Below are 26,225 nucleotides of genomic sequence, written 5' to 3'. Positions count from 1 at the left end.
GAAACCCCATCTCTACTAAAAATAGAAAAATTAGTCAGGCATGGTGGCGCACTATAATCCCAGCTACTCGGGAGGCTGAGGCAGGAGAATCACTTGAACCCAGGAGGCAGAGGTTGCAGTGAACTGAGATCACACCACTGCACTCCAGCCTGGGCGACAGAGTGAGACTCCGTCTCAAAAAGAAAAAAAAAAAACTGGATGTGACCAGCTACAATTCACGTTAATTACCCAGTTAGCTCCCGGCTGTGGGTTCCACCTTCCACCTTCTACGGCAACTACTACCTGTCTCATTCTTTTTTTTGTCTGTTTAGAGACAGGGTCTCACTCTGTTACCCAGGCTGGAGCGCAGTGGTGTGAGCATAGCTCAGTGTACTCTCAAACTCCCGGATTCAAGGGATCTTCCTGCCTCAGCCTTTTGGGCAGCTGGGACTACAGGCGTTTACCACCACATCCAACTAATTTTTTTATTTTTTGTTTTTTTTTTTTTACAGATAGGGTCTCGCTGTGTTGCCCAGGATAGTCTCAAACTCCTGGCATTAAGCAATCCTCCCGCCAGGGCCTCCCAAAGTGCTGGCATTAGAGGTGAAAGCCACCAGGCCCGGCCTATTCTTGTGGCCTGCTCTCTTCTGCCTCCCGGCAGGCAGGTCTGAGCACTGGATGCATGTCTGCTGTTCGTGTCTCTCCCACACCACCGTGCACGTGGAAGGGGCTCCAGAGGCTTCTATTAGTCGGGCGTTGTGGCGCGCTGTAATCCCAGCTACATGGGAGGCTGAGGCAGGAGAATCACTTGAACCCAGGAGGCGGAGGTTGCAGTGAGCTGAGATCACGCCACTGCACTCCAGCCTGGGTGATCCAAAGAGCCCCTGCCCTGCTTCCTTCTCTTAGGTTTTGATGCTTGCACTATCACGCAAAGAGCCCCCACTTGGGAGTCGATGTGACTGCTTTCTACACAGGTTTACCAGGGCAGCCCAGCTGAGATCAAGACAGAAAGCTCCTACCCGTGTTGAGTTTTTATGCAAGAGGCAGAAGACAGAATAGCAGAGTTAGACTCCCAGTTCAGCCTCCTTATGACTCTGTGACCTTTTCTATGAAAATGGGAGGCCAGGCGCAGTGGCTCACGCCTGTAATCCCAGCACTTTGGGAGGCCGAGGCAGGTGGATCACAGGGTCAGGAGTTCAAGACCAACCTGACCAACATACTATATCTCTACTAACCCCATCTCTACTAAAAATATAAAAATTAGCCGGGCGTGGTGGCGTGTGCCTGTGGTCCCAGCTATTCAGGAGGCTGAGGCAGGAGAATCACTTGAACCCGGGAGGTGGAGGTTGCAGTGAGCCAAGATCAGGCCACTGCACTCCAGCTTTGGTGACAAAGCGAGACTCTGTCTCAAAAAAAAAAAAAAAAAAAAAGAAAGAAAGAAAATGGGAATGATGTCTCTGTGAGGATTCAATGAAGTGCAGCAGGTAGGAAGCTCCTGTTTAGGAGTTCTCTAAAAACTCATTTCCTTACCCTTCTCCTCCTGAGCTTCCTGAATTGATGTGGCCACGGTGGGTGGTACATCTGCAAGCATTCTACGTTTCCTTGCTTGTCCACGAAATGGACTTTCTCATCTACATTTTGAAGCTCTCTGAATTGGGGTGCAGACTCCTAGTAAAGGCTAGGAATAGTGGCGGGGGAGGGTTTCAGACGGGGTCTTGCTTTGTTGCCCAGGCTGGAGTGCAGTGGCGCAATCACAGCTCACAGTAGCCTCAACACCCTCTGCTGAAGGAATTCTCCCATCTCAGCCTCCAGCGTAGCTGAGACCACAGGCATGCACTACCACGCCTTACTAATTTTTTTTTTTAATTTTTGTAGAGACAAGGTCTGGCTATGTTGCCCAAGATGGTCTCAAACTCTTGGCCTCAAGCAGTCCTCCCATTTCAGCCTCCCAAAAGTGCTGGGATTATAGGTGTGAGACACCACCCCAGCCTCACTTTTTAATAGAAAGAGTAACTGGTATTCATGTAACACTTAATATATTCTCACCTCTCTTCCAAGCATCTTCTAAGCGTTCTCTTTTAATTCTCCCAACTTCTGAAGAAGTCCTGTTTTCATTCCCATTTTACAGGGGAGGAAACAGACTTCGAGAGGTTACACAACCTTCCCAAGTCCCCACAGCTGGTAAACGGCAGTGCTGGAACACACACCCAGCCCTATTACCTCAAAACCACTGGTGTGAGCTTTGGCTTTAGAGGAAGCTACATAACAGTTTGTGTCTTCTAAAGAATATTCAGAATACTCTAATAAATCTGAGTGTTGCCTGAAACTTTACAAAAATATATATATATACACATATACATATATACATACATATATATATGTGCCTTTCACAAACCGTATTGAGATCACCTCTGTTTTCCCCTTGACTCCTACACCAACTCATGTTTGGACAACCCTTTCCAGGTAGCACTTAGCTACTGTTTTCTCAATCAATAACCTTTGAAATCTCGCCCTTCTACCTAGAATAAAGAGGTTCCATCCATCTTCTACTTCATTAATCCCAGAGACAGCTCAGATTAAACTCTGTTTAGCTTTTGAGTTTACAAATATTTGCTTCGGTCTGTTGATGAAGCAGTAAATCCTTTAGGCACTGGTTAATGATGAGACACACCCTTCCAGCCCGGGAGAGGCTGTAGCAGTAACTGAAATGAGAGCAGCACTGGCAGAAGGCTAGAAGTTAGGAAGGTAGAGAAAAAGGGGAGGGAAGATTGTGCTGTGTATAAGATGCCTGTTGTAAAAATTGCAAAAATGACTGCTAGAGGCACGAGGGAACTATCCGAGTAAGTTGTTTATTGAGTAATAGTGAATTCAGTTTGAGGAATCTTAGAGATGGGTCAATTGGTAATTTTATAGATGGAACCATGAGATTAGTAACTCAAGGCGTTACACCATTTAATGGCAGATATGTGATGAAAATCCAGTGTCTTTCCCTCCAGTCACCACCCTCTCTCCATGATAGCAGATTTAGATCATTTAATTTTTTTTTAGTAGAGCAGGGGTCTCACTATGGCCAGGCTGGTCTTGAACTCCTAGCCTCAAGCAGTCCTCCCACCTCAGCCTCCCAGAGTGCTAGTATTACAGGTATGAGCCACTGCGCCCAGCCTATATCCTTTTTTTAAACTTTTTTTTAAATTTTTTTTTTTAAATGGAGTCTCGCTCTGTCACCCCGGCTGGAGTGCAGTGGCGCCATCTCAGCTCACCGCAACCTCCGCCTCCGAGGTTCAAGCGATTCTCCTGTCTCGGCTCCCCAAGTAGCTGGGATTACAGGTGCATGCCACAACGCCCAGCTGATTTTTGTATTTTTAGTAGAAGACAGGGTTTCGCCATGTTGGCCAGGCTGGTCTCAAAATCTGACCTCCTGATCTGCCCACCTCGGCCTCCCAAAGTGCTGGGATTATAGGCATGAGCCACGACACCCAGCCCTTTTTTTTTTAATTTCCAAGGGGCTAAACACAACCTCAAAGAGGTTTGCACTTGCAAAAGCATATATGTGTTCAAATAACTGAAAATGGATAAATCAGCATAAGCCTAGGTGCTGATTTGAAATTAGAATTTTTGGTTTGGTTTTGTTTTTGTAGAGACAGAGTCTCACCATGTTGCCCAGGCTGGTCTCATACTCCTGGCTTCAAGGGATGCTCCCTCCTTGGCCTCCCAAAGTGCTGGGATTACAGGTGTGAGCCACTGTGACCAGCTTTTAGTTTTTGACAGTCCCATTTCCCTGAGCCCTAAGGCTCTGCCCTGCCTCAATTTCTTCCTGGAGTCATTCTGTCACTTGAGGGCATCAAGGCAGGCAGTGAGAGTGAACCTCCACCTCTTGATTTCTCCCTGTCTTGTAGCTTCTTTCCTTCTTCCCTTTTAAAACCAACCTGCTGGGTCAGTGGATGCCTAGTGGGCATTTGTGGAGGACGTGGGAAAGCAGATCAATATCAGAGGGCATTTTGGGCTCCCTCTCCTGACGCCCTTTGAGCTGCTTCTGTGGAATGTTGCTGGTGTGTCCGTGTCACTGGGCACTCGGCCACCTCTTGCCTTGGTGGCCACGTTTGCTTAGTTGCAGGTAGCAGCCCGCAGGCTCAGATCAGACAAGCCCTGAGGTAGAGCAGCGGTGAAAGCTCCGAGCCCTTGCCCCAGAACAGTGGATTTCCTAAAGACAAAAAAGGCAATGGGAACCTCTTTTCGTTACAATACGGCAACCTGAATACATGCAGCAGGTTCACGGGGAGCTGCTCTGTTTTGAGGAACGTGGAGTGGAATAGGATAAGAATAGCCACAGAACCTCCTTGACCCCACCTCCAACCATAGCTGCCCCAAAGACCTAGCTGCTAACCCAGGGACTCAGGAAACATCGTTTGTGAACACTGTGTGTGTGTGTGTGTGTGTGTGTGTGTGTGTGTGTATATATATATATATTTTTTTTTTTTTTTTTTTTTTTTTTTTTTTTTTTGAGACAGAGTCTCACTCTGTCACCCAGGCTGTGGTGCAGTGGACCAATCTCGGCTCATTGCAACCTCCGCCTCCCGGGTTCAAGCAATTCCCTGCCTCAGCCACCCAACTGGCTGGGATTACAGGTGCCCACCTCCATGCCCAGCTAATTTTTTTTTTCGTATTTTTAGTAGAGATGGGGTTTCACCATCTTGATCAAGCTGGTCTTGACCTCCTGACCTCGTGACCCACCTGCCTCAGCCTCCCAAAGTGCTGGGATTACAAGCGTGAGCCACCGCGCCCAGCCATAACACTATGTGTTTTTTAAAAGTGGATCTCATAGAAGTATAAAGTAGAACAGAAGTTTCTAGAGGCTGGGAAGGGTAGAGAGAGTAGGTGATGGGGGAGATTTGTTGTAGGACAGAAATTACAGTGAGGTAGGAGGAATGTGTTCGAGTGTCCTATAGCACTGTAGGATGTTAATAGTTAACAGTAGGGTATTGTATAGCTTCAAATAGCTAGAGGGAGGATATTGAGTATTTCCAACCCAAAGAAATGATCAATGTTTGGATAATGGATATGCTAATTATCCTGATCTGATTACCATACATTATATGTACCAAAACATCAATGTGCACCCCATATTATGTGCCAATTAAAAAAATTTTTTTAAAGAAAACACTGCCTAGTTCGTATTGTTCCTTTCTAAAGGTGAGCTTTGGACCTCAAGTGTTACACTGAATTGGGTACGAAGCTCTTTGACCGATACTTCATTGAGCAACAGTGAAGAGGCAGTTGCAATGATTTCTCTTTCTAATTCTACTAGGACGTGTGTGCGTGCGCGTGCGCACACATGCTCATGTTCAACCTGCCCTAGTTTGAGGGTTGACCTATTCCAGGCCCAGTGCAAAGTGCTGGAGATGTGTTTTCTCATTCAGCCTTTATGAATTAAGGAGGGCAGGTAACTTACCCAAGGCCACACATCCAGTGAGTGGTTCTGACTTTATCAAACTCAGATCTGTTTTACCCTCTATCCACCATCCAGTTACCGCCACAGTGGAAATCTGCATGTCCAAGGCAGGCTGGCTCAGTGATTTTGCGGGGATTTGACCTGGTACCCAGACACCATCTTCGCCCTGAAGTAACTCCCAGGCTAATGGCATGAAACGGAGCCAACCAGCATTAGTGGTGCCAACCAGCATTAGCGGATACAGAGAGGGGCTCTTGAGCCATCTAGTCTGCCAGGACTTTCTTGCCTGTTTTCTGTGGGCTTGGTATCTAGGCTAATTATTGGAAATGATAATAATTTGGGTAGCATTAATGAGCCCTGGAACTCAGGGCCAAATCTTAACTAATCCCATAACTAGCAACATGATCATCCAAAAACTGTGTGCTTTACCTCCCTTGAGTTTCATTTGTAATTTGTGCCATTCCAGAACACAGTTAATTCTTAGATTGGACTTAATAAATCATTATTTCCTATTGAGAGGTTAGGCAGGGGTGAAAGGGAAAACAATGAATTTTTCACTTGAGCTAGAAATCCTTTAATCTTCTTGGACCCAAGTTTCTCTAGGTCTGTTTTTTAAATCTAAAGTCTGACTTCCTTCCAGTATTGTTTTACATTCTTATTAATTCTTTCAATGATGAAACGGAGTACTTCAGTAAATGTTCCTGAGTCTTCAGATGTGATTGGTGACTGTTACTAAGAGAACCAGATTAAGAGTCACAATGATTTAGCCATGTAACCTTGGAGGGACATAAACTGGAGACAATTTAGGATTGGTAAGCACAGGGTGATTGGCTTATGGAGAGAGCAAACCTGAACCATTTCAAAAAGGGGAACCTGCAATAATGTTCAGCGATGTGCTGTGTGAATATGACACTATATGGATTTAGTACCTGAGAACCATGAGGTCACGGATGAAGCTTTCTTGTGTCCAGTTGCATTTGGAGACCTGCAACTGAAGTATGTCAAAATCCAGGAAACAGCTACGAAAATAATTCAAAGCTCGGAAGGTAGGTTCCACGATGGAACAAATTACAGGTATTAGATTTTTGTTATGAAGAGGAGATAATTATAGCATCCAAGTATATGACTGTGAACATTTATTTGGTTGTTCATTCAAGCTAATATTTGTTAGCTGCTTTGGAGGCATAATGATAGTATGTTTCTGCGGTGACAGATATATTCTCTATTTCAAGCTCAAATTGAGGCAAGGGAAAGAACAAAACCCATGTTAGAGTTAAAATGTTCTTAGACATTGAGAGTTCTTGGTGATTAGGGTAGTAAGAGCCTGTATGTATGGTAATTGATGGAATGCAGGGTTTTCTGCTCAGAGACGTTAAATAGAAGAATAGTATATTTATGGGGACAATTTAAGTGAAGCAGAGCTGTTTGATGCCACGGGACAGAAGTTCTTTCTAGCTTTATGATGCTGCATTGCCTTTTCTACCATTGGAAGAAACAGAACTGTGGATTCTGGGAATTCTGACTGGATTATTCTCTCATCTGTTTACTAAAATTGTCCAAAAAATCCATTGTTTCCTATGGAAATAGAATTTTTTCATCTTCCTACCAAAAGTCCTGCCAAGGTTTTACTGGGATTGCATTGATTGATGGAGAATGGACATCTTTACAACATCAAGCTTCTAATCCTTGACCACAGTGTATCTTTCTGTCTATTTAGGTCTTTAGGACAGTTTTCGCGGTGGAGATCTTGCTCATCTTTAATTAGATTAATCTCCCTAGGTATTTGAAGTTCTTTGATGCAGTTGTCAATGGCATGGTGTGAGCCCCTTGAATGCACAGCCTCTAACACCTGTCCGTTTCTAACACTTCTGCTCACGATGGGCTTGCAAAGAAAAGTTGTAATCGGCTGGGCGCGGTGGCTCATGCCTGTAATCCCAGCACTTTGGGAGGCTGAGGCGGGTGGATCACCTGAGGTCAGGAGTTCAAGACCAGCCTGGCCAACATGGTGAAACCCCGTCTCAACTAAAAATACAAAAAAAAAAAAAAAAAATAGCTGGGTGTGGTGGCGGGTGCCTGTAATCCCAGCTACCTTGGCAGGCTGAGGCAGGAGAATCTCTTGAACCTAGGAGGCGGAGGTTGCAGTGAGCCGAGATGGTGCCACTGCACTCCAGCCTGGGCAACAAGAGTGAAACTGTCTGAAAAAAAAAAGAAAAAGAAAAGAAAAGTTATAATCAGCTTTTCCCTTTGTAGAGAGTCAGTGTTCCTTTTCTAACCCATCAAGGTAGAAAAAGTACAATAGCTTCACTCCAGGAAAGTTATTTCAGAATCCAAACACTGGCAGCCCAGAAATTACTCCTTTGGTCTAACCTAAATTCCTCCAGATGGCATTTCAGCTTATTTTCCTTTGGTTTGGTTTGAAGTTTGCCTTCCACAAGGTTTCCTATCGAGCACTCTGCTATTTGAATCATCATGTTTTACCCAGGAAAAGTATGTTAAAATATGTATAACTTTTATTAGGAGGGAATTTGCTCATGATACAAAACATGAAGTTAAAAAATACAATAGCATTCTAATTTTATTTTTTAAATATATGTACTTAGAAAAAAGGCCAAAAGAAAATGCATAGCAATGGTTATTTCTGGGTGATTAGTTAATGGACTATTTCTTATACCTGTCTACATTTTCAGGGTTTTCATCATAAACACACATTATCTTTGCACTAAGCAAAAATAATAAGTATTTTTAAGGGAACAAAATAACATTTTAAATACGTTTTAGGGCTGGGCACGGTGGCTTACACCTGGAATCCCAGCACTTTGGGAGGCCAAGGCAGGCAGATCACTTGAGGTCAGGAGTTCGAGACCAGCCTGGCCAACATGGCGAAACCCCATCTCTACTAAAAATACAAAATTAGCCGGGTGTGGTGGCGGATGCCTGTAACCCCAGCTACTCGGGAGGCTGAGGCACGAGAATCACTTGAACCTGGGAGGCGGAGGTTGCAGCGAGCCGAGATCATGCCACTGTACTCCAGGCTGGGTGACAGAGTGAGACTGTCTCAAACAAAGATAAATAACTCAATACGTATTAAAATTGCTGACATGAGCTTTTCTTTCCCCCTTTCTTGTGTAAAGTCTATTAGAATTTGCTAGTAAAATTTAAAAAGGTATGTGACATTTCTTAAGATAATTGAGAAAGATAAACTTCTTTTTCAGGAGGGTCCATCTTCCTGCCATTTCTTGTGACTGGCTATAAATTCCATGCAGTGCTGGAATGTGCTTCTCACAGTTAGAGTGCTGAGCACCTGTTTTATTTCACACTCCCTTGATTCCTGGGGTAAATCCCATCTCCGCAGCATGGGCTCCAGTTAAATTCATTAGTGGTCCAGATGTGTGTCCCCTGTCAGCTGGCCAAGTAACCCCACTGTTTATCGACAGGTTCTCAGGAATCAGATAGCTCGCAGTCGGCCAAGAAGGACATGCTGGCTGCCTTGAAGTCCAGGCAGGAAGCTCTGGAGGAAACCCTGCGTCAGAGGCTGGAGGAACTGAAGAAGCTGTGTCTCCGAGAAGCTGTAAGCCTTTCCTAGCTCATCCCGTTGAAATTGGTGTTGTCTGTGATGTCACTGATCTTTCTGATGTCATTTGATCTTTTTGATGTCATTTGACTGATGTCATTTGATCGTTTTGACAGAAGGCAAGGGTAGTGATAAAAAGAGGGCCTATCTGGGCGGCGAGCGCTCTCCTGAAACACAAATGTTGGAAACATCCAAACCTCTCTAATGTGCTTTGTCAGAGAAAGAGCAGAACCGCATTAGTGCAAATCTTAAGAAAGCAGTTGACCTGGCTGGGAAATGCACTATGTGATACTGTTAATATTAGCGAATTTTTTTAAAAGAATATGCTTAAAGGGTTGGAAAAAATATGGGTTTTGGTGTGTGCCTTTAATTATTTGGAAAGCCTTGTTTTGTTTTCAACAAAAGAAAAAGTCCCTAAACCCATCAAAGAATTGGTTGATGAAGCACTGTGATGACCAGTTAAAGTTGGTGCTGGCAAAATCCCAAAGAGGACCCCATGGGAGTCCAAGCGACAAGTCCCAATGATGATCCCTCATCCCTCATACTTGCATGGTGGTTCATAAAGCATCTCCTCACGTGATAGTGCCTCATCGATCATAATGGCTGGCCACCATCCTCCCAAGATTTTGTGCCTGAGTTTATTGTTGTGGTGGCTTTTGTTCTTTCTTAAGGGTATTTCAGACTTGTCTTTGGACATCCTATTGAGAAACACTGGTGGTCAACAAGGAAACCACGATCTCACTTGGTATATAGTCACCTTTAGACCCTGTGATCTGGTGTTTAGCTTTTTCATTTTAAAAAATGAAATCTTAGCCTAATGACATTTTTAAATTTTATGCAGGCTGGGCACAGCTGCTCATGCCTGTAATACTAGCACTTTGGGAGGCTGAGGCAGGAGGATCACTGGAGACCAGGGGTTGGAGACTAGCCTGAGCAACATAGTGAGACCCTGTCTCTACAAAAAAATAGCCAGAGGTGGTGGTGTGTGTCTGTAGTCCCAGCTACTCAGGAGAGTGAGGCAGGAGGATCGCTTGAGCCTGAAAGGTTGAGACTGCAGTGAGCAGTGATCACGCCATTGCACTCCAGCTTGGGTGACAGAGCAAGACCCTGTCTCAAAAAAAAAAAAAAAAAAAAAAAAGCAATGCTTTCTCGACCCTATGTATGTGCTAGTCTCACAGAAGTTGCTGCAAGCTGCTGTCTTTATTTATTTAAATATCCATTTCCACCTTTGTCTGTTTATTTCATGACTATTTGTTAGAAGTGTTTGAAGGCTTCATGTTTTAATGCAATACACATGACTCTGTGTGTGTGTGTGTGTGCGCGCGCGCACGCATGCACATGTGTGCATTGTGCACATGGGCACAATGGGGTGGGAGCTCTCCAGGGCAGGAGCAACTGTGCACCACCTAACCTTAGAAAGAGCTTCGCCGGTAAACAGTTGAGAATGGGAAGTCAAAAGAGGTTCCCAAAGTAAGTCAAAGAGACGTATACCCCTCCCCCAAACACTAAGGCCTTGCAGCGGGAAGAATGAAACAAGGGGCCGTGGAGTGAGATCACATTACATTTCAACTTGGCTTAATTATGGTCTGGATTGATTTAAACCGGAGCCAGCTCAAAGCAGAACCACATTAGCACAAATCCATTGCAAATCTTAGGAAAGCAATTGGCCTGGCTGGGGAATGCGCTATGTGATACTGTTAATATTAGCAACATTTTTATAAAGAATACGCTTGAAGGATTGGAAAAAATATGAGTTTGGGTGTCTGCCTTTAATAATTTGGAAAGCCTTGTTTTGTTTTTAATAAAAAGTCCCTAAACCCGGCAGGGAATCCACGTTTCAAAAAGGTAAGGAACATGTCAGGGCAAGATGAGCATGCATTATAAAAAAATCTCACCATCGCTCTTAAAAACAAAAACAAAAGAAGGAAAACAAAGCTGCCACTTCTTATAATGTTAACACCAGAAAATGTAACTTGAGTGGAAGAAATAACCCAACAAGAAATCAGTTGCAGGTAGATTTCTCCTGTGATCATTCCCTATAGTTAGTCCCACCATAGCCTCTTGACGCATGTGTAGTCAAGGGCTGGGGGGAGGTCTTGCTAAATCTGTGCTGTTCCTGCATCTCTCCCCTCAGCTCAGAGTATCAAGACGCGCTGCTTGACCCCTGGGGAGGGGGGCAACTAGAATGATGGAGGGGGAGAGCATTTGGCAGGATATAGGGAGGCACCAAGCCGAGGCCCCACTGCAGAGTGTTAAATTACGTCTTCAGCGTGCAGCTCCAGTTACACATGAAATCAGATTAAATATCTGGAGAATCAAGACTTCGACTCAAATACCTTCAAGTGGATGGTGAAAAAAATCAGTAGCCTCATTTTTTAAACTACATTTTAAAACCACCAACAGTTTAGAGTTACAGATCCATGGCAATTTTAACAACTTTTCCCTCCTTTTTGGAATTTTCTAAGTAAAAAAAAAAAATCAAGTCCTGACAATATAAAACCCTCAATAGTTGTGTTACTTATAGATAGACTTTTAGGGAAGCAGATTAAAAAAAAGTTGCGGAATAAACACTTAACTACTTTGGAGACATTTGAACCACATTTTTTTTTTAAAGAAAAAACCAGGGAAGAAAATTGCAGAGTCTGATACTCAGATAGTTGGCCATTGTGCTCTGAAATGCTTACATTGAGGAATATAAAGTCCACGGGGTCATTTCCCGGCAATCTGAACACAGCGAGGGAGAAGCAGGCGAGTGACGGAGTATGTGTTTATGCTCATGTCACGTGTACACATGTACACACGCACACACATGCACACACCATGCCTGCACATGCATACATGCGTACACATGTGCACACAGCAGTTGGAGAAGAAGGGCCAGCATCACACTCTCATGATTTGGATTTTCCCGCCTGCTGGGCACTCAGCCCTGGGCTGCCCTGCGCAAAAGCTTTCTGTGTAGATGATGGATATTCCTGAGAAAAGCCTCCTGAACTTCCTTGTCAGAGCAGCTCCTTCAGTCTTTGTGCAGCATCTGCGTTGATTTGGGCTAGAAAAGCCAGAGCTGGGCTTGGCCTGGAAGTGCCCACTTTGCCATTAGAGACAGATGCACAGTTGGTCCCCCAGCCTTTTCTGGTCTCTGGAAGTGACTTCTTGAATTTGATGCCTGGCCTCTACAGTGTGGGGCAGCCACTGACTCTGATTTGATCATTGTTCAGCCCTGATACAACTCACTCACAGAGAGCCTGATTCTAATCTTGAATCGCCCCCAGATCCTTAGCCTTTAACCAGGATCACTGTCACCATGGAAGTCTGTCAACTAAATTCACTGTCCTTGTACCCACAACAAGTAGATTTCCGGGGCCCAAAATACACAAAACAAGTGTTTTTTTAGTAGCCTTGTCAATAACATGGATTATATGTTCAGTTTCTACTAAACTTTTTTTTTCCTTAATAAACAGAGTCTCGATCTGTCACCCAGGCTGGAGTGTAGTGGCATGATCTTGGCTCACTGCAACCTCCGCCTCCCGGGTTCAAGCGATTCTCCTGCCTCAGCTTCCCAAGTAGCTGGGATTACAGGTGCTTACCACCACGCCCAGCTAATTTTTGTATTTTTAGTAGAGACAGGGTTTCACCATGTTGGCCAGGCTGGTCTCGGACTCCTGATCTCAAGAGATCCGCCTGCCTCGGCTTCCCAAAGTGCTGGGATTACAGACATGAGCCACCGTGCCCAGCCATTCTACTAAAACTTTTAAATTAAACAGTTTAATGTCTTTTAAGTACAGCCTATTCCTGTAGCATCTGGCCAGAGTAGGTTACTATCCTTACTCAGTTTCTAAATTATTTATCTATGCACTTTTCTGGGATTTGCCATATAGATACCACTCCTCTTGTGAAAATCCATTTGAAGGAAACTTTAAACTTAGATATTTGAGCAGGAATATTTGATGCAGTGTCAAGAGCACGGGATTTGGAGTTAGAGAGGCCCGAGAACTCACGCTGACACTGCTCCTCACTGGCTGGGTGACCTTGCCTGGCACAGAGGAGGCAGGCAGGAAATATCTGTTCACTTAACAAATGAATGAAATTCAAGTTTTATAATGAAAGTCAAATGGCAATTACAGAAATTTACTTTGGAAAAAACTTTGGAAGTGCAACTATTCTACATAAGAGACATTGTTAGAGAAATGAAATTTCATTTCTTGACCTCTTACTTAGGCATAGTGCTTAATGTGAACATTTCTAGCATAAGCGTTGACCTGTATCGAAGTGCATGCGTGCATTTTTGTGTGCGTGTATGTGCGTGTGTGTGTGTTCTAGGAAGCAGACACGCCCCACTCTGATTTGTGCTCACTCCGAATGCCATTTCACATATGCAGGAGCTCACGGGCAAGCTGCCAGTAGAATATCCCCTGGATCCAGGGGAGGAACCACCCATTGTTCGGAGAAGAATAGGAACAGCCTTCAAACTGGATGAACAGAAAATCCTGCCCAAAGGAGAGGTGCGTCCTTCCTTTCTGTTGTTGGATTCTCTCATGTTATCCTTGTTTTTCCCATTGGTCAGGCCTTCCAGGTTTTCTGTACCAATTTCTTCATTTCTGCCTAATGCCAGTATTTTCGCTCATACCTTTTCTTGAGTGAGCTGGCCGGTCAGTATGTGGTTCCCCTCGGTAGGAGTAGTTTGCTTGCATTTGCAGGCATTTGGGTGTCTGTCGAAGTTGCTTGTCTGACGCTGTGGGTCTAGCGCAAGCAGCCACGTTGAGCTTGGGGAAAACATTCCAGTAGCATTCACGTGTATTTGGCTTTGTAATGGCCTCTCAGCCCTCAGTGACTGAGAGCCAAGCTTGATGTGTGATCTATGGAAGAAAAGCTGCCGAGAGAAGGAAAACTTAGGCCACGGCATCAGGTGCAAGGGTACATTGGCTGGGGAGAGACCAGTAGGGTCCACCGCCCCGTGGTCATAGCCTCACCTGGCTACTCACATCCCTCCAAGAATGTGTGCAGGATGCTTGGGCGGCCCTGGCCTTGTTTGTCTGTGTTTGGAGAAGCTACGTCCATCCTTTGGACTGAACACGGGTGAAGATGGGGCTGGAGACTTCAGATTTGGGGAGAAAACAAACAAACAAACAAACAAAACCAAGACTTGACTCTCTGGCTGGTTAATGAGAATCCAGCCTCAGGCCAAGAGAAAGTAAAGGCCAGGTATACCCTCAGGCCCAGGGCTCCTGCCCAGGAAATGCTTTCCCAGATTTCTTCTGAAGGAAGTTACTAATTAACATGCTCTTGAACAGAGGCCTTAAAAGGTCAGGACTTAGAGCCAGGGGAAAAAGGAATGCTGTACATTTTTAGTATTTTAAGAAAGTGATTGGGAGAAACGGACACCTGGGGTAGGTAGGATTAGGGTGAGGGTGAATTCAGAGAGGGACCCATGTGCTTGTGGCCCATCTGTGTTAGAGGAATCTCCTGAGATCTGCAGTGGCAGGTCCTGGGACACTGGCAGACACACCAATGTGCTTCAATTAAAACTAAAGCTCATGTGGCCGGGCGTGGTGGCCCACGCCTTTCGCTGCAAAATCCCAGCACTTTGGGAGGCCAGAGTGCGCAGATCACTTGAGGTCAGGAGTTCGAGACCAGCCTGGCCAGCATGGTGAAGCCCTATCTCTACCAAAAAGATACAGACATTAGCCAGGCATGGTGGTGTATGCCTGTAATCCCAGCTACTCAGGAGGCTGAGGTGAGAATCGCTTGAACCCGGGAGTCGGAGGTTGCGGTGAGCCAAGGTTGCGCCACTGCACTCCAGCCTGGGTGACAGAGACCCTGTCTCAAAAAAAAAAAAAAAAAAAAAAAAAACTAAAGCTCAGTTAGGCAGTTCCTGGTCTGTAAAATGGAGCTCATAGCCCTTACTTCTTGGGGTGTCCCTGGGATTGAATGAGCCAGTGTATGTAAAACACGTCACTCAGTACTTGGCACTTGTGATGCTCAGCAAACAGTTGCTTGTAGGGGAGATGCAGTCTCAAAGGAGGGGTGCCACACCGTAGGCAGGAACTGCAGGGGACGGAGGGATTGAGGTCGGGTATTTCCAAATCCTGCTGGTCATCAGAGCCACTCTAGGGAGGAACTTCAACTCCCCCTGTTGCTGGGCAGATACCTGGCCCTTAAGCTTTAAAAAGGGACCCCACTTTTAGGGAGTTCCCCCAACACCCTCCTTGGTCTTCCCAGAGTCCCACCACACCTTTCACGCATCTCAGTACCGCGGGACTTTAGCTCCCTGAGAATGCCCTAGCCATGTGCTTCCTTACCTGTCCCCACACATGATCTTTCCTAAGTTCGTAAAAGGAACCAACACAGGAGCAGCTGGCATTCTGCGGGGTTCCTCTGGGAAGCATGAGATGATCACCTGGTCTCTACTGTGGCTCCTGGAAACGCACTTTGCTTCCCTATTCATATAACAGGCAGACATTTGCATGGACAGGGCATTCAGCCTTGGACTTGTCTTAGTTTAAATAGTGAGAATTTGTCCTGGGCTCCCCACAAAACTCTGAATCAGTGTCTGGTGCCAGGGCCATTGTAACAGCTCAGGAACAGCTGCCCCAGGGAGCCCAAACTCACAGAACAGTCTTTGTCCCTTGGTGACTTGCCTATTTCAAGACCACAGGCAGGAGTCCATGTTGATATTCTTCTCCCTCTGAGACAACAGCGCAGCCAGCCTTGGCAGGATTCAGAAGGAGTTTATTATCTCCGAAATAGTTCTCTTTAACCTTCACCTTTTCCTCTCGCTTCTTGTTCCTGCTCCCTTTAGGCTTAAAGTGCTCAAAAGTCAATGAGATCAGGCAAAGAACTTCTCCTTGATGGCATCCTCCAGCTTGGTGCATTGTGCCCAGAGGCAAGGATATTTTACTGAGCAACTAAACAGGAAGATCTGTTGATTCTAGCAAACAATTGATCTCCTCCTATTTGGCTAGATCAGTTCCCATCAAATTTCAGCGTGTCTGTGAATTTCCTAGGGCAAGATGTGTGCTCTCTCTCCCTGGCCTTGAGAAGCTGCCGATGCATTTGTCCTGGGTTTACTAGCTGTGGGGTTAGGCAAATATTCTACCTCTCCTTCAGGCTGCCAAATATGCCCACCTTGCAGGACCCTGTTGCTCAAAATCTCAACCGACAAGGTGCTGTTTAGAGCTAGCTCTGATCCGGAGGGGTTTTACTAGAGAAGAGAGGAAATAGAAAAATGAACAATCTGACGCTTTGCGGGGGATTCCGCATTCATCCCCAAATCCTCACGCACACATGCATGAGCTACCTCCCCCCATCCCTCAGCAGCTGGTGTACATACATCTGCAGAGGAGAGGCTTGGTCAGCATAGAGGACAGCAGCAAACATGCTGTCTAGGTGTCATCCGCTAGGTCCACCAGGCATTTTTGACAGCCACAGCTTCATTCTTCCCGGTCCCAAAACTCTGAGGAGAATCTCATCCATCCGTACTTCTTGGCTAAAGGAAGAATAGAGGTGGGAGGGAGCTACAGTAAAAAGAGGGGAAGGACATCAAGTGAGCTGGGGGGGTGGGGTGGGAGGGGGACTGCCTCCACCACCACCCACTGTCCATTTGTGCCCCTTGAAGGGCCCGGCTGTAGCCTAGCAGAGTATACATGAATAGGCAGATGGGGGAGGGACAGCCAGAGCTTGCAAAATGAGCTCCCATGGCCGGGCATGGTGGCTCACACCTGTAATCCCAGCACTTTGGGAGGCCAAGGCAGAAGGATAGTCTGAGGTCAGGAGTTCGAGACCAGCCTGGCCAACATGGTAAAACCCCATCTCTACTAAAAATACAAAAGTTAGCAAGGTGTGGTGGCAGGTGCCTGTAATCTCATCTACTCAGGAGGCTGAGGCAGGAGAATCATTTGAACCTGGGAAGCAGTGGTTACAGTGAGCAGAGATTGCACCAGTGCACTCCAGCCTGGGTGACAGAGCAAGATCCATCTCAAAAAAAAAAAAAAAAAAAGAAAAGAAAAGAAAAGCTCCCGAAAGACACGCGGGTGAGTGGGGGTACAGGGAAAGACAAGATATGTGAGTCAGAGGCCTGTGAGTTAGGCACACGTGAGGGGCACACAGTGTGAGAGTCAGAGGCCCGTGCATTAGCTCATGTGTGTGAGCTCCTTGGTAGCAAGTCCACAGAGAAGAATGGCATAAAGAAACTAAAAATCCTGCTGCATCCTACATCCAAAATGGAAAGGAAGTGACAGTCACTTGGGCTCTGAATCTCTCCAAAGGCTTTGGTTTGTCTTGATGAACCTTGCTGGAGACAGTCGAAACACAGCCAAGCGATCCCTAAACCTGCATCGTGGGAACTCTGTTCTCAGCGATGGCGGCAGCGTTCACACCAACACTTGTCTTCAGAAAGTAACAGGAGCAAGGGTTACAACAGTGGGTGTGCCTGGGGACTTCAGTGGGTGCAGATTTTAGGAGTGGGGCTACTCTTAAGAGTGTCTCCCATGGAACTGGACTTGCCTTGGGACAGGGGAGGGAAGGATGAGGGTCTCCCTGCTCAGCATCCCCAGTAACCCAAACCGGTGCTTTCCCTCCCACAGGAAGCTGAGCTGGAACGCCTGGAACGAGAGTTTGCCATTCAGTCCCAGATTACGGAGGCCGCCCGCCGCCTAGCCAGTGACCCCAACGTCAGCAAAAAACTGAAGAAACAAAGGAAAACCTCGTATCTGAATGCACTGAAGAAACTGCAGGAGATTGAAAATGCAATCAATGAGAACCGCATCAAGTCTGGGAAGAAACCCACCCAGAGGGCTTCGCTGATCATAGACGGTCAGTGCCAACCGGGCTGCCCCCACCCCACTCCCACGCCCGGGCCCCGGCAACCAGACGCCAGGTCCCACGAGTGGTCCCTGCACGACCTGAGCAGCTGCCTAACTGTCCGCTGCCTTCATTTGTCCATCCATAAAATGAAGCGAGTAAGGCCTGATCCCACATGAGAGAAACCAAGTGGACTCAGACACAGATGAAGGGATTGTACGAATCAAACTGTTGGTATCACTATTGGTTTCCTCCCTGGGAGAACCTGCAGCCAGGAGCTAGCATTCTTCTCAGCCCTTACTGTGAACTGAGCTGAGTTGACTGGGCTAGACCAGGCTCTGACACTCTCAGGGACCTGACCACCCCTACTCAAGTCTGGAAGGACAGGTGGGGCTGGGGTACACAGCAGCAGTGATCCCTGTCTTCGAGCGGCCCCCGCCAACCCACTGACCCCTATGCTGCCAGGGGCCTCCTATCCCAAGAGCTGAAGCTTGGGGAGACTGGACCATCTGATTATCTGGAACCCTGAGCTCCAGTCATGGGTTAGGAATTTGGGTGATGACCTTTGGTAAATTCTAGAAGGAAATCCCCCAAAATCCACCCACAAAGCATCAAGTCCCCTAAACTGTTAGAATCCTTCTTGTCTAAGTCAGTGAATTCTTGAAAATATATATCAAGCATTCTTTCCTCCTAAACACACATAAAGGTATGTGTGTTTAAAATACCTTTGCTCTAGAAAGACAGAAAGTAGAATAGTGGTTACTATAGGGGGCTTAGGGGACAGGGGAATGAGGAGTTACTGCTTGATAGATACCGAGTTTCAGTCTGGAAACATGAAAATATTATTCAAACAGAAGATGGATGGTGGTGACGGTTACGCAACAATGGGAATGTGCTTGATGCCAATGAACTGTACACTTAAAAATAGTTAAGCTGGGGCTGGGTGAGGTGGCTCACACCTGTAATCCCAGCACTTTGGGAGGCTGAGGCGGGCGGATCACCTGAGGTCGGGAGTTCAAGACCAGCTTGACCAAAGTGTTTCTACTAAAAATACAAAAATTAGCCAGGCGTGGTGGCGCATGCCTGTAATCCTAGCTATTCAGGAGGCTGAGGCAGGAGAATCGCTTGAACCTGGGAGGCAGAGGTTGCAGTGAGCTGAGATTGCGACATTGCACTCCAGCCTGGGCAACAAGAGCGAAACTCTATCTCAAACAAACAAACAAAAAAATAGTTAAGCTGGGCATGTTGGCATGCACCTATAGTCCCAGCTACTCAGGAGGCTGAGGCAGAAGGATTACTTGAGCCAGAGGTTTGAGACTGTAGTCCACTATGATTATACCTGTGAGTAACCATGCGTGCCAGTCTGGGCAATATAGCAAGACTCATCTCTGAAAAAAAAAAAAATGTTAACATGGTAAATGTGATGTTATATATATTTCACCACAATTACATAGATAGATAAATATAGATAGATGCAGATTTGCAGCCTAAACTCGTGAGCATCCTAGCGTAGCAGTGATGTGCTGAAGATTCCAAGATGCCGAAGTCAGAGCTCCTGGTTGCTCATAGTCCATCATGCAACATAAATAAAGTGAATTTCTAGTTAAAAAGAGAATTTTTTAAAATTCTTTTGCTCTAGGAAATTTGGAATGACCATCTTTCCCTATCTCATCCTGTTGTCCTTGGCCAAGACCACACAACTTTTCCCCTACCTCCTAGTAAAGCTCCCTCAGCCAACCTCTTTCTGACACTCCATTTGAGACCCTCTGCCCCCTCCAAGGCACTTAGGGGTTCCCAACAGAAACATGTTTCCTATAGAAACATCCAAGGACCCACTTGAACTAGAGGAGTAATTAAGGTTCTTGCTAGTTCCTTAGCGTATTATTTTAGAGATAAAACACCAAACTTGGAATCTGAAGACTTGGGACCTTTGCTCACATTGCTGGAGAGCAAAACCACCTCGGACAAACCACTCTTCCCTTCCTACCCCTCAGTTTCCCCAGCAGTGAAACAGGGAGGATTATTTTACCATCTCCCTTTTGGGTGTGTTCTCCCGGTTAATTGAATGGCATCTATAAAAATAAGCTTTGGAGAGATGGAGCCTGTATTTAGCACGCTTGTTTTCTCTACTAATGACTTACAAAGTTTATTGAGAAGCCATTTATTGCCACAGAAGCAAAGCAAAGTGCCTACCCTGGTTTCGCATTTGTAGAATCAAAAGCAGTTTGCGTCCTTTGGTTTTGCTGGTACACGCCCTGGGTTTGTGCAGGGACAATGATGTGGTTTAATCAGGCTGGGGCAGCCTTTATATTCGGTATGAAGCCACTCTGCATTGCAGTATTCTATGAAACCGGGGCACAAACACACAAAGGCTAGGGCACATGGGCACATGGCAGTGTCGGGGTGGGGAGGCTGAGCCAATGACCCACCACGGGGACTGACAAAAGAAACACCCAACAGCATTTTTATTGTATCTGGTGGGTTGTTTCTGGTTAGGAAGAGAAAGGTATGAGGTGGTAGTAGACATGCTATTTTTACAGATAGGGCTTTGCTGAAGGAATGTGCTGAACTCATAGGCTATTGCTTTTTGTCTTCTCAGATGGAAACATTGCCAGTGAAGACAGCTCCCTCTCAGATGCCCTTGTTCTTGAGGATGGTAGGTTTATGCATTTCCTGCTTACAAACCTACAGCTCAGAGTAAACAGAGATGAATTTCTATGTAGTCTGGGGATTGCCTTGTGTAAAGGCAAGAGCCAGGCCAAAAGGCAGCTGGGCTCCCTGCAAGCTCTCTCATTTCCCAGTATTCACCTCTTTGGTTGGGAGTGGGTAGGTGCTGCATAAACCCATGTGTATTAGAGCTTTTCATCAGTGAGTGGTGCTTTACTTTTTTAGAAGCCAAAAACTTTTTTTTTTTTTTTTGAGACAGGGTCTCACACTATTGCCCAGGCTGGAGTGCAGTGGTATGATCTCGGCTCACTACAACCTCTGCCTCCTAGGCTCAAGTGATTCTTCCACCTCAGCCTCCCTAGTAGCTGGGACTACAGCATGCCACCACACCTGGCAATTTTTGTATTTTTTTGTAGAGACTGGGTTTGCCATGTTGCTCCTGGGTTCAAGCGACCCACCCACCTCGGCCTCCCAAAGTGCTGGGAGGATTACAGGCAGGAGCCACCATACCTGGCCCAAAACCACGTTTAGCTAGACAGAGAATCTACACACTAGGCATAGCTTCCTTTTGAGTATTCATGGTATCTAAAAGAAAAGGGTAGAAATTGATTTAGATCACAAATCAAAGATTGAAACCCACTAGGAGAGTGTAAGGATCGTGAGAAGAAATGGAACACACCCTCTGTTGCTTCCCAAGACAGTAGTGAAAGTAAGAGGGGAGATATCCCAGTAGATACACACTCAGGCTGGAAAACTGTCTTATTATTTCCCACTGAACTCTTAAAACCTGGCAGTTAGGATATTTTCTTGGGAAATTCTTAAAAAAACAGAACTGATCCCTCCCCCAACCCCCATCACCACCATACGTCGGGGAAGAAAGAATTCCAAACCCAGAACCATGTGAGAATACTCCTGTGGATGTTTAACCATCGTACTGGGAGGCGGGTACATTAATTATATGGAAATATATTAAGTGGCAGTTAATTTTTTTGCCCTGTATGGAAACCTCAGGCAGGCAGTGATAAGTGGCTGTTCAGATGGAAAGCATGAAAGGTCCACACTAGTCATAGTAATAATGATAATTGCAATAATAATAATGATTGCTCTTGATGTGAGGAAAGTCTGGCGGATTATTTACCCAGTCACCTTGGCTGTGCTATTAGAAATCAGATTGGAATATATTTGTCTGCTTCATTACAAGCCGGGGACGCCATTGGGCTACAAGGAAATGGGGGGCTTGAGCATCAGAGATCCCAGCCCTGCGGTTGGCCTCTGAGTATCCCAGTCTCCCCTGGAAAGGGAAGAAAAATTGAGAGATTCCTTGGTAGTAGAGGGGTGCCTGGAGCAATAGGTAATGTCACGGGGTAATTTTGAGATATCATTCCGTGATTCCAGCTTCTTCCCCGTGTTCCAGATGCAGACCCCTGGACTTCCTCACAGGTGTCGGCACATCCTTTTGCCACAGTCCCACTGCAGGGTCTCTTTCTGGGGACTCTTCCTTTACTGATTTGAGGGCAAAGGAGGAGTGGGTGCATAGTGGGTGTCCACGGCTGGGGGACTGAGAATTAGGCTGTGAAACAAGTCGCTGGAAATGGATTTAGGGGCAAGTGAATGGTAGTTGGTTGGTTGTAAGGTTTGCTTCTGTGCTTTTTTCCCCTCCACCTCCCATGTCTGCCTTCCCTGTGAAGCCTGAATCGTTCCCTCCTCTCTCTTCTCAATGCTGACCTGCCCTAGCCTGAAGTCCTCATTCATCCCCCTCTCTAGTCTCTCTCCCTTCCTTTCTAGTTTTAGAACACTGCCAGGTGAATAGTTCTAAAACAGGATTTTTCACTCCGACGCATCCGTGCTTAAGACATCGCAAAGTTTTCCTGTGGCTTTTCAAAATCTCAACTCGGAATTCCAGGCCCCCATCAGTCGGGCTCTTGGCTCACATGGTGCACACAGAAGGCGGCTGTGCTGGCCAGAGCTCTGCCCTTACTCCCCCTGCCCCTCCTCACCAGCCCCTGCCTGGCCAGATGTGCCTGCAGCTGGTACCCTGCCCTCAGGGCCTCCACACTTTGGTTCAAGCCCTTCCTTCCTCCTCCTCTTTGCCTGCCCACTGCTCAAGCCCCTTCAAGACCAGCCTCTCCCACAGCACCTCCTAGACTCACTGAATTTGCTTTTTCTGAAAGTCCTCTAGCGCACTGACGTGTTAGATCATTTCTTTCCTGGAGGCAGGGAATCATTTATTAATACATAATCTTTGTAGCTCATCTCCTTAAAAAAGTTAAGGCAGTTTCAAAATTAAAATATAGAGGAAGAGATTAAAAGAGAATAAACACAGCTCTGGGGGAAAAAAGCAGAGTAGACACCCGATCCACCCAGCAGGTATTTACAATGGACATATAGACCCTCATTCATTTTTTCTTCTCCAACCAATGGTTATCAAGCACCTACTATGTGTCGGCTGAGGATCTAGCAGCAGATGAAACAGACAAAACTCTCCCAGAACTCAGACCCTCCCACAGTGAATCAGATGCTTAGCATCTGTTGAAAGACAACTTAGCACTACAGCAGTAACTACATTTTGCTGTTTAGTGTGAAGCAGTCATTTGTTGGTGGTATTTAATGACGTTCAGACTTCACTCCATTCGTGTCTAATCAAAAGTGACGCATCTCTTCCCATGCAATCCCGCCTGCAGTGGAGGTTTGGCTTGCCCTGGTTTGGTTTGACTCGTCTTGACTTGTCTTGGCAACTGGGGAAGAGTTTCAGGGTTTCTCATCACAGGGGTGAAGGTGTGGGTTTGGCTGTGTGGCTCCAAGGTGCGGGTGGAGGGGTGTAGGGGTTCTGTCTCAGCCTGTGGGAAGGATGACCGGGGCTCAGTTCCTCTCTTCCTGTCTTTGTGCAGAAGACTCTCAGGTTACCAGCACAATATCCCCCCTACATTCTCCTCACAAGGGACTCCCTCCTCGGCCACCGTCGCACAACAGGCCTCCTCCTCCCCAGTCCCTGGAGGGACTCCGACAGATGCACTATCACCGCAACGACTATGACAAGTCACCCATCAAGCCCAAAATGTGGAGTGAGTCCTCTTTAGATGAACCCTATGAGAAGGTCAAGAAGCGCTCCTCTCACAGCCATTCCAGGTGAGCTGCATCGTGAATGAGGCCAAATGAGGCCTCCCTCTATGCTCTGGAAGAATCAAAGGGCCGTCCCAAGTAGCATCCACGGTGACAAAATCCACATCAACCTAGTTCCTCCCCGTGGGGTTTGCCTTTCACGGGGCCGTGCTCACAGCGCCCTCTGCTGCCGACACTGTTGAGGTACATTTTTGTGACTCAGAGAAATTGGGGCTTTGGCCCACAATCAACGTGATGGCAGATGGTTTGAATGCTGTTAAATTCCAGAGGAATTAATTAGGAAATCTCAGGCAGCGCTATTCTGAAATAGCAAGTGAAAGTCCACTCGGAGCAAATGCAGAGTGGTTCAGAACTCTACCCCCTCATCCAGCAGAATTCTCCAGCCAAGCAGCTGTAATCCAAGCTGTGTATTATCAGCTCATTACCGGGCTGACTTTGTAGGGAGGTTTTTTTTGGGGGGGAAGGCATTTTCGGTCTGCTTCTCTGTTTTTCCCATTTCCTTTAATCACCCTACCAAGCTCCAAGGGGGGTGCCAGGACAGGTAAATATTTGTTTCTTGGAAAACAAAAACTGTAAGGGCAGGACCGTCACACTGCCTGACACAGAGAAGGCTGACCAGGGTTTTCCTCTCATATTGCCTAGGTTGGGAGGGGGGAGGGCATACCCCCTGCTGGGGAAAGGCTGAGAACCACAGTAGAGGTCTGACCAAGCGAGGTGGGAGTCACGGGCGAGCTTTCCCCACATGCTGGGATCATTGTCCTGAACTAGCCAGCCCCCCAGGAAAGGTGCTGTCTGTCTGGCGGTGACCACGTGGCATCCTTGGCTTTGCAGCAGCCACAAGCGCTTCCCCAGCACAGGAAGCTGTGCGGAAGCCGGCGGAGGAAGCAACTCCTTGCAGAACAGCCCCATCCGCGGCCTCCCGCACTGGAACTCCCAGTCCAGCATGCCGTCCACGCCAGACCTGCGGGTCCGGAGTCCCCACTACGTCCATTCCACGAGGTGAGTCTGCCTGGCCTTCCTGCTCAGACCAAGCCTTCCTTTTTAAAATTGGGCATTGTCAGCCCCAAGCTGGCCCAAATAATGGATGAGCTACAGTCAGACCTGAACCTGGGAGGATAAATGAAGCGGAATAAAAAACCAAGCTGGCAGCAGTCAACCCCCGTTAGCCAAGAGACCCATGCACAGGGCACTTGGAGTCAGCCAAAGAATCCCCGGGCTTCTGGAGACAGGGAGCATGGAAAGTTTCCTAAGCAAAGCAGAGGCCACAGAGGCTGGCTGGGTTAGCATGGGAAGAGGTCTTCTATCTTTCTACTGAGGCCTAAATTTATACTGGACTTCCTTTAGTGCCTCAAAATGTAAATTCATAAAGAGCAAAAGAGCCAGGCAAAAATGAGGCTTCAGTGAATCACACCTTCTGTTTCTTTTTTTTTTTTTTTTTTTGAGATGGAGTCTTGCTCTGTCACCCAGGCTGGAGTACAGTGGCGCGATCTTGGCTCGCTGCAACCTCTGCCTCCCGTGTTCAAGCGATTCTCCTGCCTCAGCCTCCCAAGTAGGTGGGATTACAGGCACCTACCACCACGCCTGGCTAATTTTTGTATTTTTTAGTAGAGACGGGGTTTCACCATGTTGGCCAGGCTGGTCTGGAACTCCTGACCTCAGGTGATCCACCCACCTTGGCCTCCCAAAGTGCTGGGATTAGAGACGTGAGCCACCGCTCCTAGCCACACCTTCTTTTTCTAAAAAGAAGCAAACCAGATCACGGAGGGCCACGTGATGGGGGCTTTCATCCCCCTTCTGAGTGGCAGTCGGAAGTGGGACTCGCCTCTTCCTGTGCTTGGCCCGTGGGGCCGCTGTGAAGTTCACATGCAGTCCCAGCATCGGGCAACATCATCTGCCATGTGATACTGTTTTGCACTTCCCTAAGCCCTGAGTGGACTCAAACGAGCAGAATGAATTATAAAGTAATGGTATGGTGAGTATTTGCATCATTCATTGTTTAATTATCTCATTTGCCACCAACCTTCTATTTCCCAGTTTTCACAGGAAAGGGGAGTCTATTTATATGGATCATGTAATAGTATTTGGTTAAACAATATGAAGGGCCTCTGTAGGACTGCTTTTATCTGATCTGTAAATAGGGACATTTCATCTGGTTTGTGTTTTCTTTTTTTTTTTTTTTTTTTTTTTTTAAGAGAGACAGGGTCTTGCCCTGTTGCCCAGGCTGGAGTGCAGTGGTTTGATCATAGCTTACTGCATCCTCAAGTGATCCTCCCTCTTCAACCTCCTGACTAGCTGGGACCCCTGGTGTACAACACTACACCCAGCTAATTTTCTAATTTATTTGTAAGAGATGAGGTCTTACAGTGTTGCACAGGATGGTCTCAAATTCCCAGGCTCAAGCAATTCTTCAGCCTCCTGAAGCACTGGGATTACAGGCGTGGACCACAGTGCCCAGCCCTATCTGGTTTAACATGATACTAAGGATTCTGTGATTCTCTTTGTGTCTATAGAATTATTTAAAAAAAAAAAAAAACCCAGAAATCGAAACCTTTCTGTGAGTCCTAGCTTCAGTCCCACTTCCCACTGGGAATCATGGTGGAGACCCCAGGTTCACCTCCCGCAATGGGCAGTTCCCGGATC

General features: G+C 46.6%; 1 protein-coding gene across 4 annotated transcripts in view, besides 3 other annotated features; it reads left to right on the top strand.

The window, feature by feature from the left end:
• The window catches only part of FRMD4A (FERM domain containing 4A), a 687,219-nt gene that overhangs the window by 647,018 nt on the left and 13,976 nt on the right, over positions 1-26,225 (top strand). For all 4 annotated transcript variants that reach the window (NM_018027.5, NM_001318336.2, NM_001318337.2 and 1 more), the window contains 6 exons: positions 8,863-8,996; positions 13,379-13,501; positions 17,582-17,810; positions 20,398-20,454; positions 23,354-23,591; positions 24,417-24,584. In NM_018027.5, the coding sequence (NP_060497.3) occupies positions 8,863-8,996; positions 13,379-13,501; positions 17,582-17,810; positions 20,398-20,454; positions 23,354-23,591; positions 24,417-24,584 (949 nt within the window). The remainder of the gene's footprint in view (positions 1-8,862; positions 8,997-13,378; positions 13,502-17,581; positions 17,811-20,397; positions 20,455-23,353; positions 23,592-24,416; positions 24,585-26,225) is intronic.
• Positions 9,816-10,340: an enhancer, noted in NCBI's record as "H3K4me1 hESC enhancer chr10:13715567-13716091 (GRCh37/hg19 assembly coordinates)". NCBI's record gives its function as "activates a minimal SCP1, AML or CMV promoter by ChIP-STARR-seq in primed H9 embryonic stem cells {active_cell/tissue: H9 hESC(primed)}" and the evidence as "EXISTENCE:reporter gene assay evidence [ECO:0000049][PMID:30033119]".
• Positions 23,200-23,259: an enhancer, noted in NCBI's record as "active region_3057". NCBI's record gives its function as "activates an Ori minimal core promoter by ATAC-STARR-seq in GM12878 lymphoblastoid cells {active_cell/tissue: GM12878}" and the evidence as "EXISTENCE:reporter gene assay evidence [ECO:0000049][PMID:35858748]".
• Positions 23,590-23,639: an enhancer, noted in NCBI's record as "active region_3056". NCBI's record gives its function as "activates an Ori minimal core promoter by ATAC-STARR-seq in GM12878 lymphoblastoid cells {active_cell/tissue: GM12878}" and the evidence as "EXISTENCE:reporter gene assay evidence [ECO:0000049][PMID:35858748]".

Source organism: Homo sapiens, chromosome 10, assembly GCF_000001405.40.
Source record: "Homo sapiens chromosome 10, GRCh38.p14 Primary Assembly".
In the NCBI taxonomy this organism is placed as follows: Eukaryota; Metazoa; Chordata; class Mammalia; order Primates; family Hominidae; genus Homo; species Homo sapiens.
The sequence above is the reverse complement of the archived record's forward strand: the minus strand, read 5'-3'. Positions and strand labels throughout refer to the sequence as shown.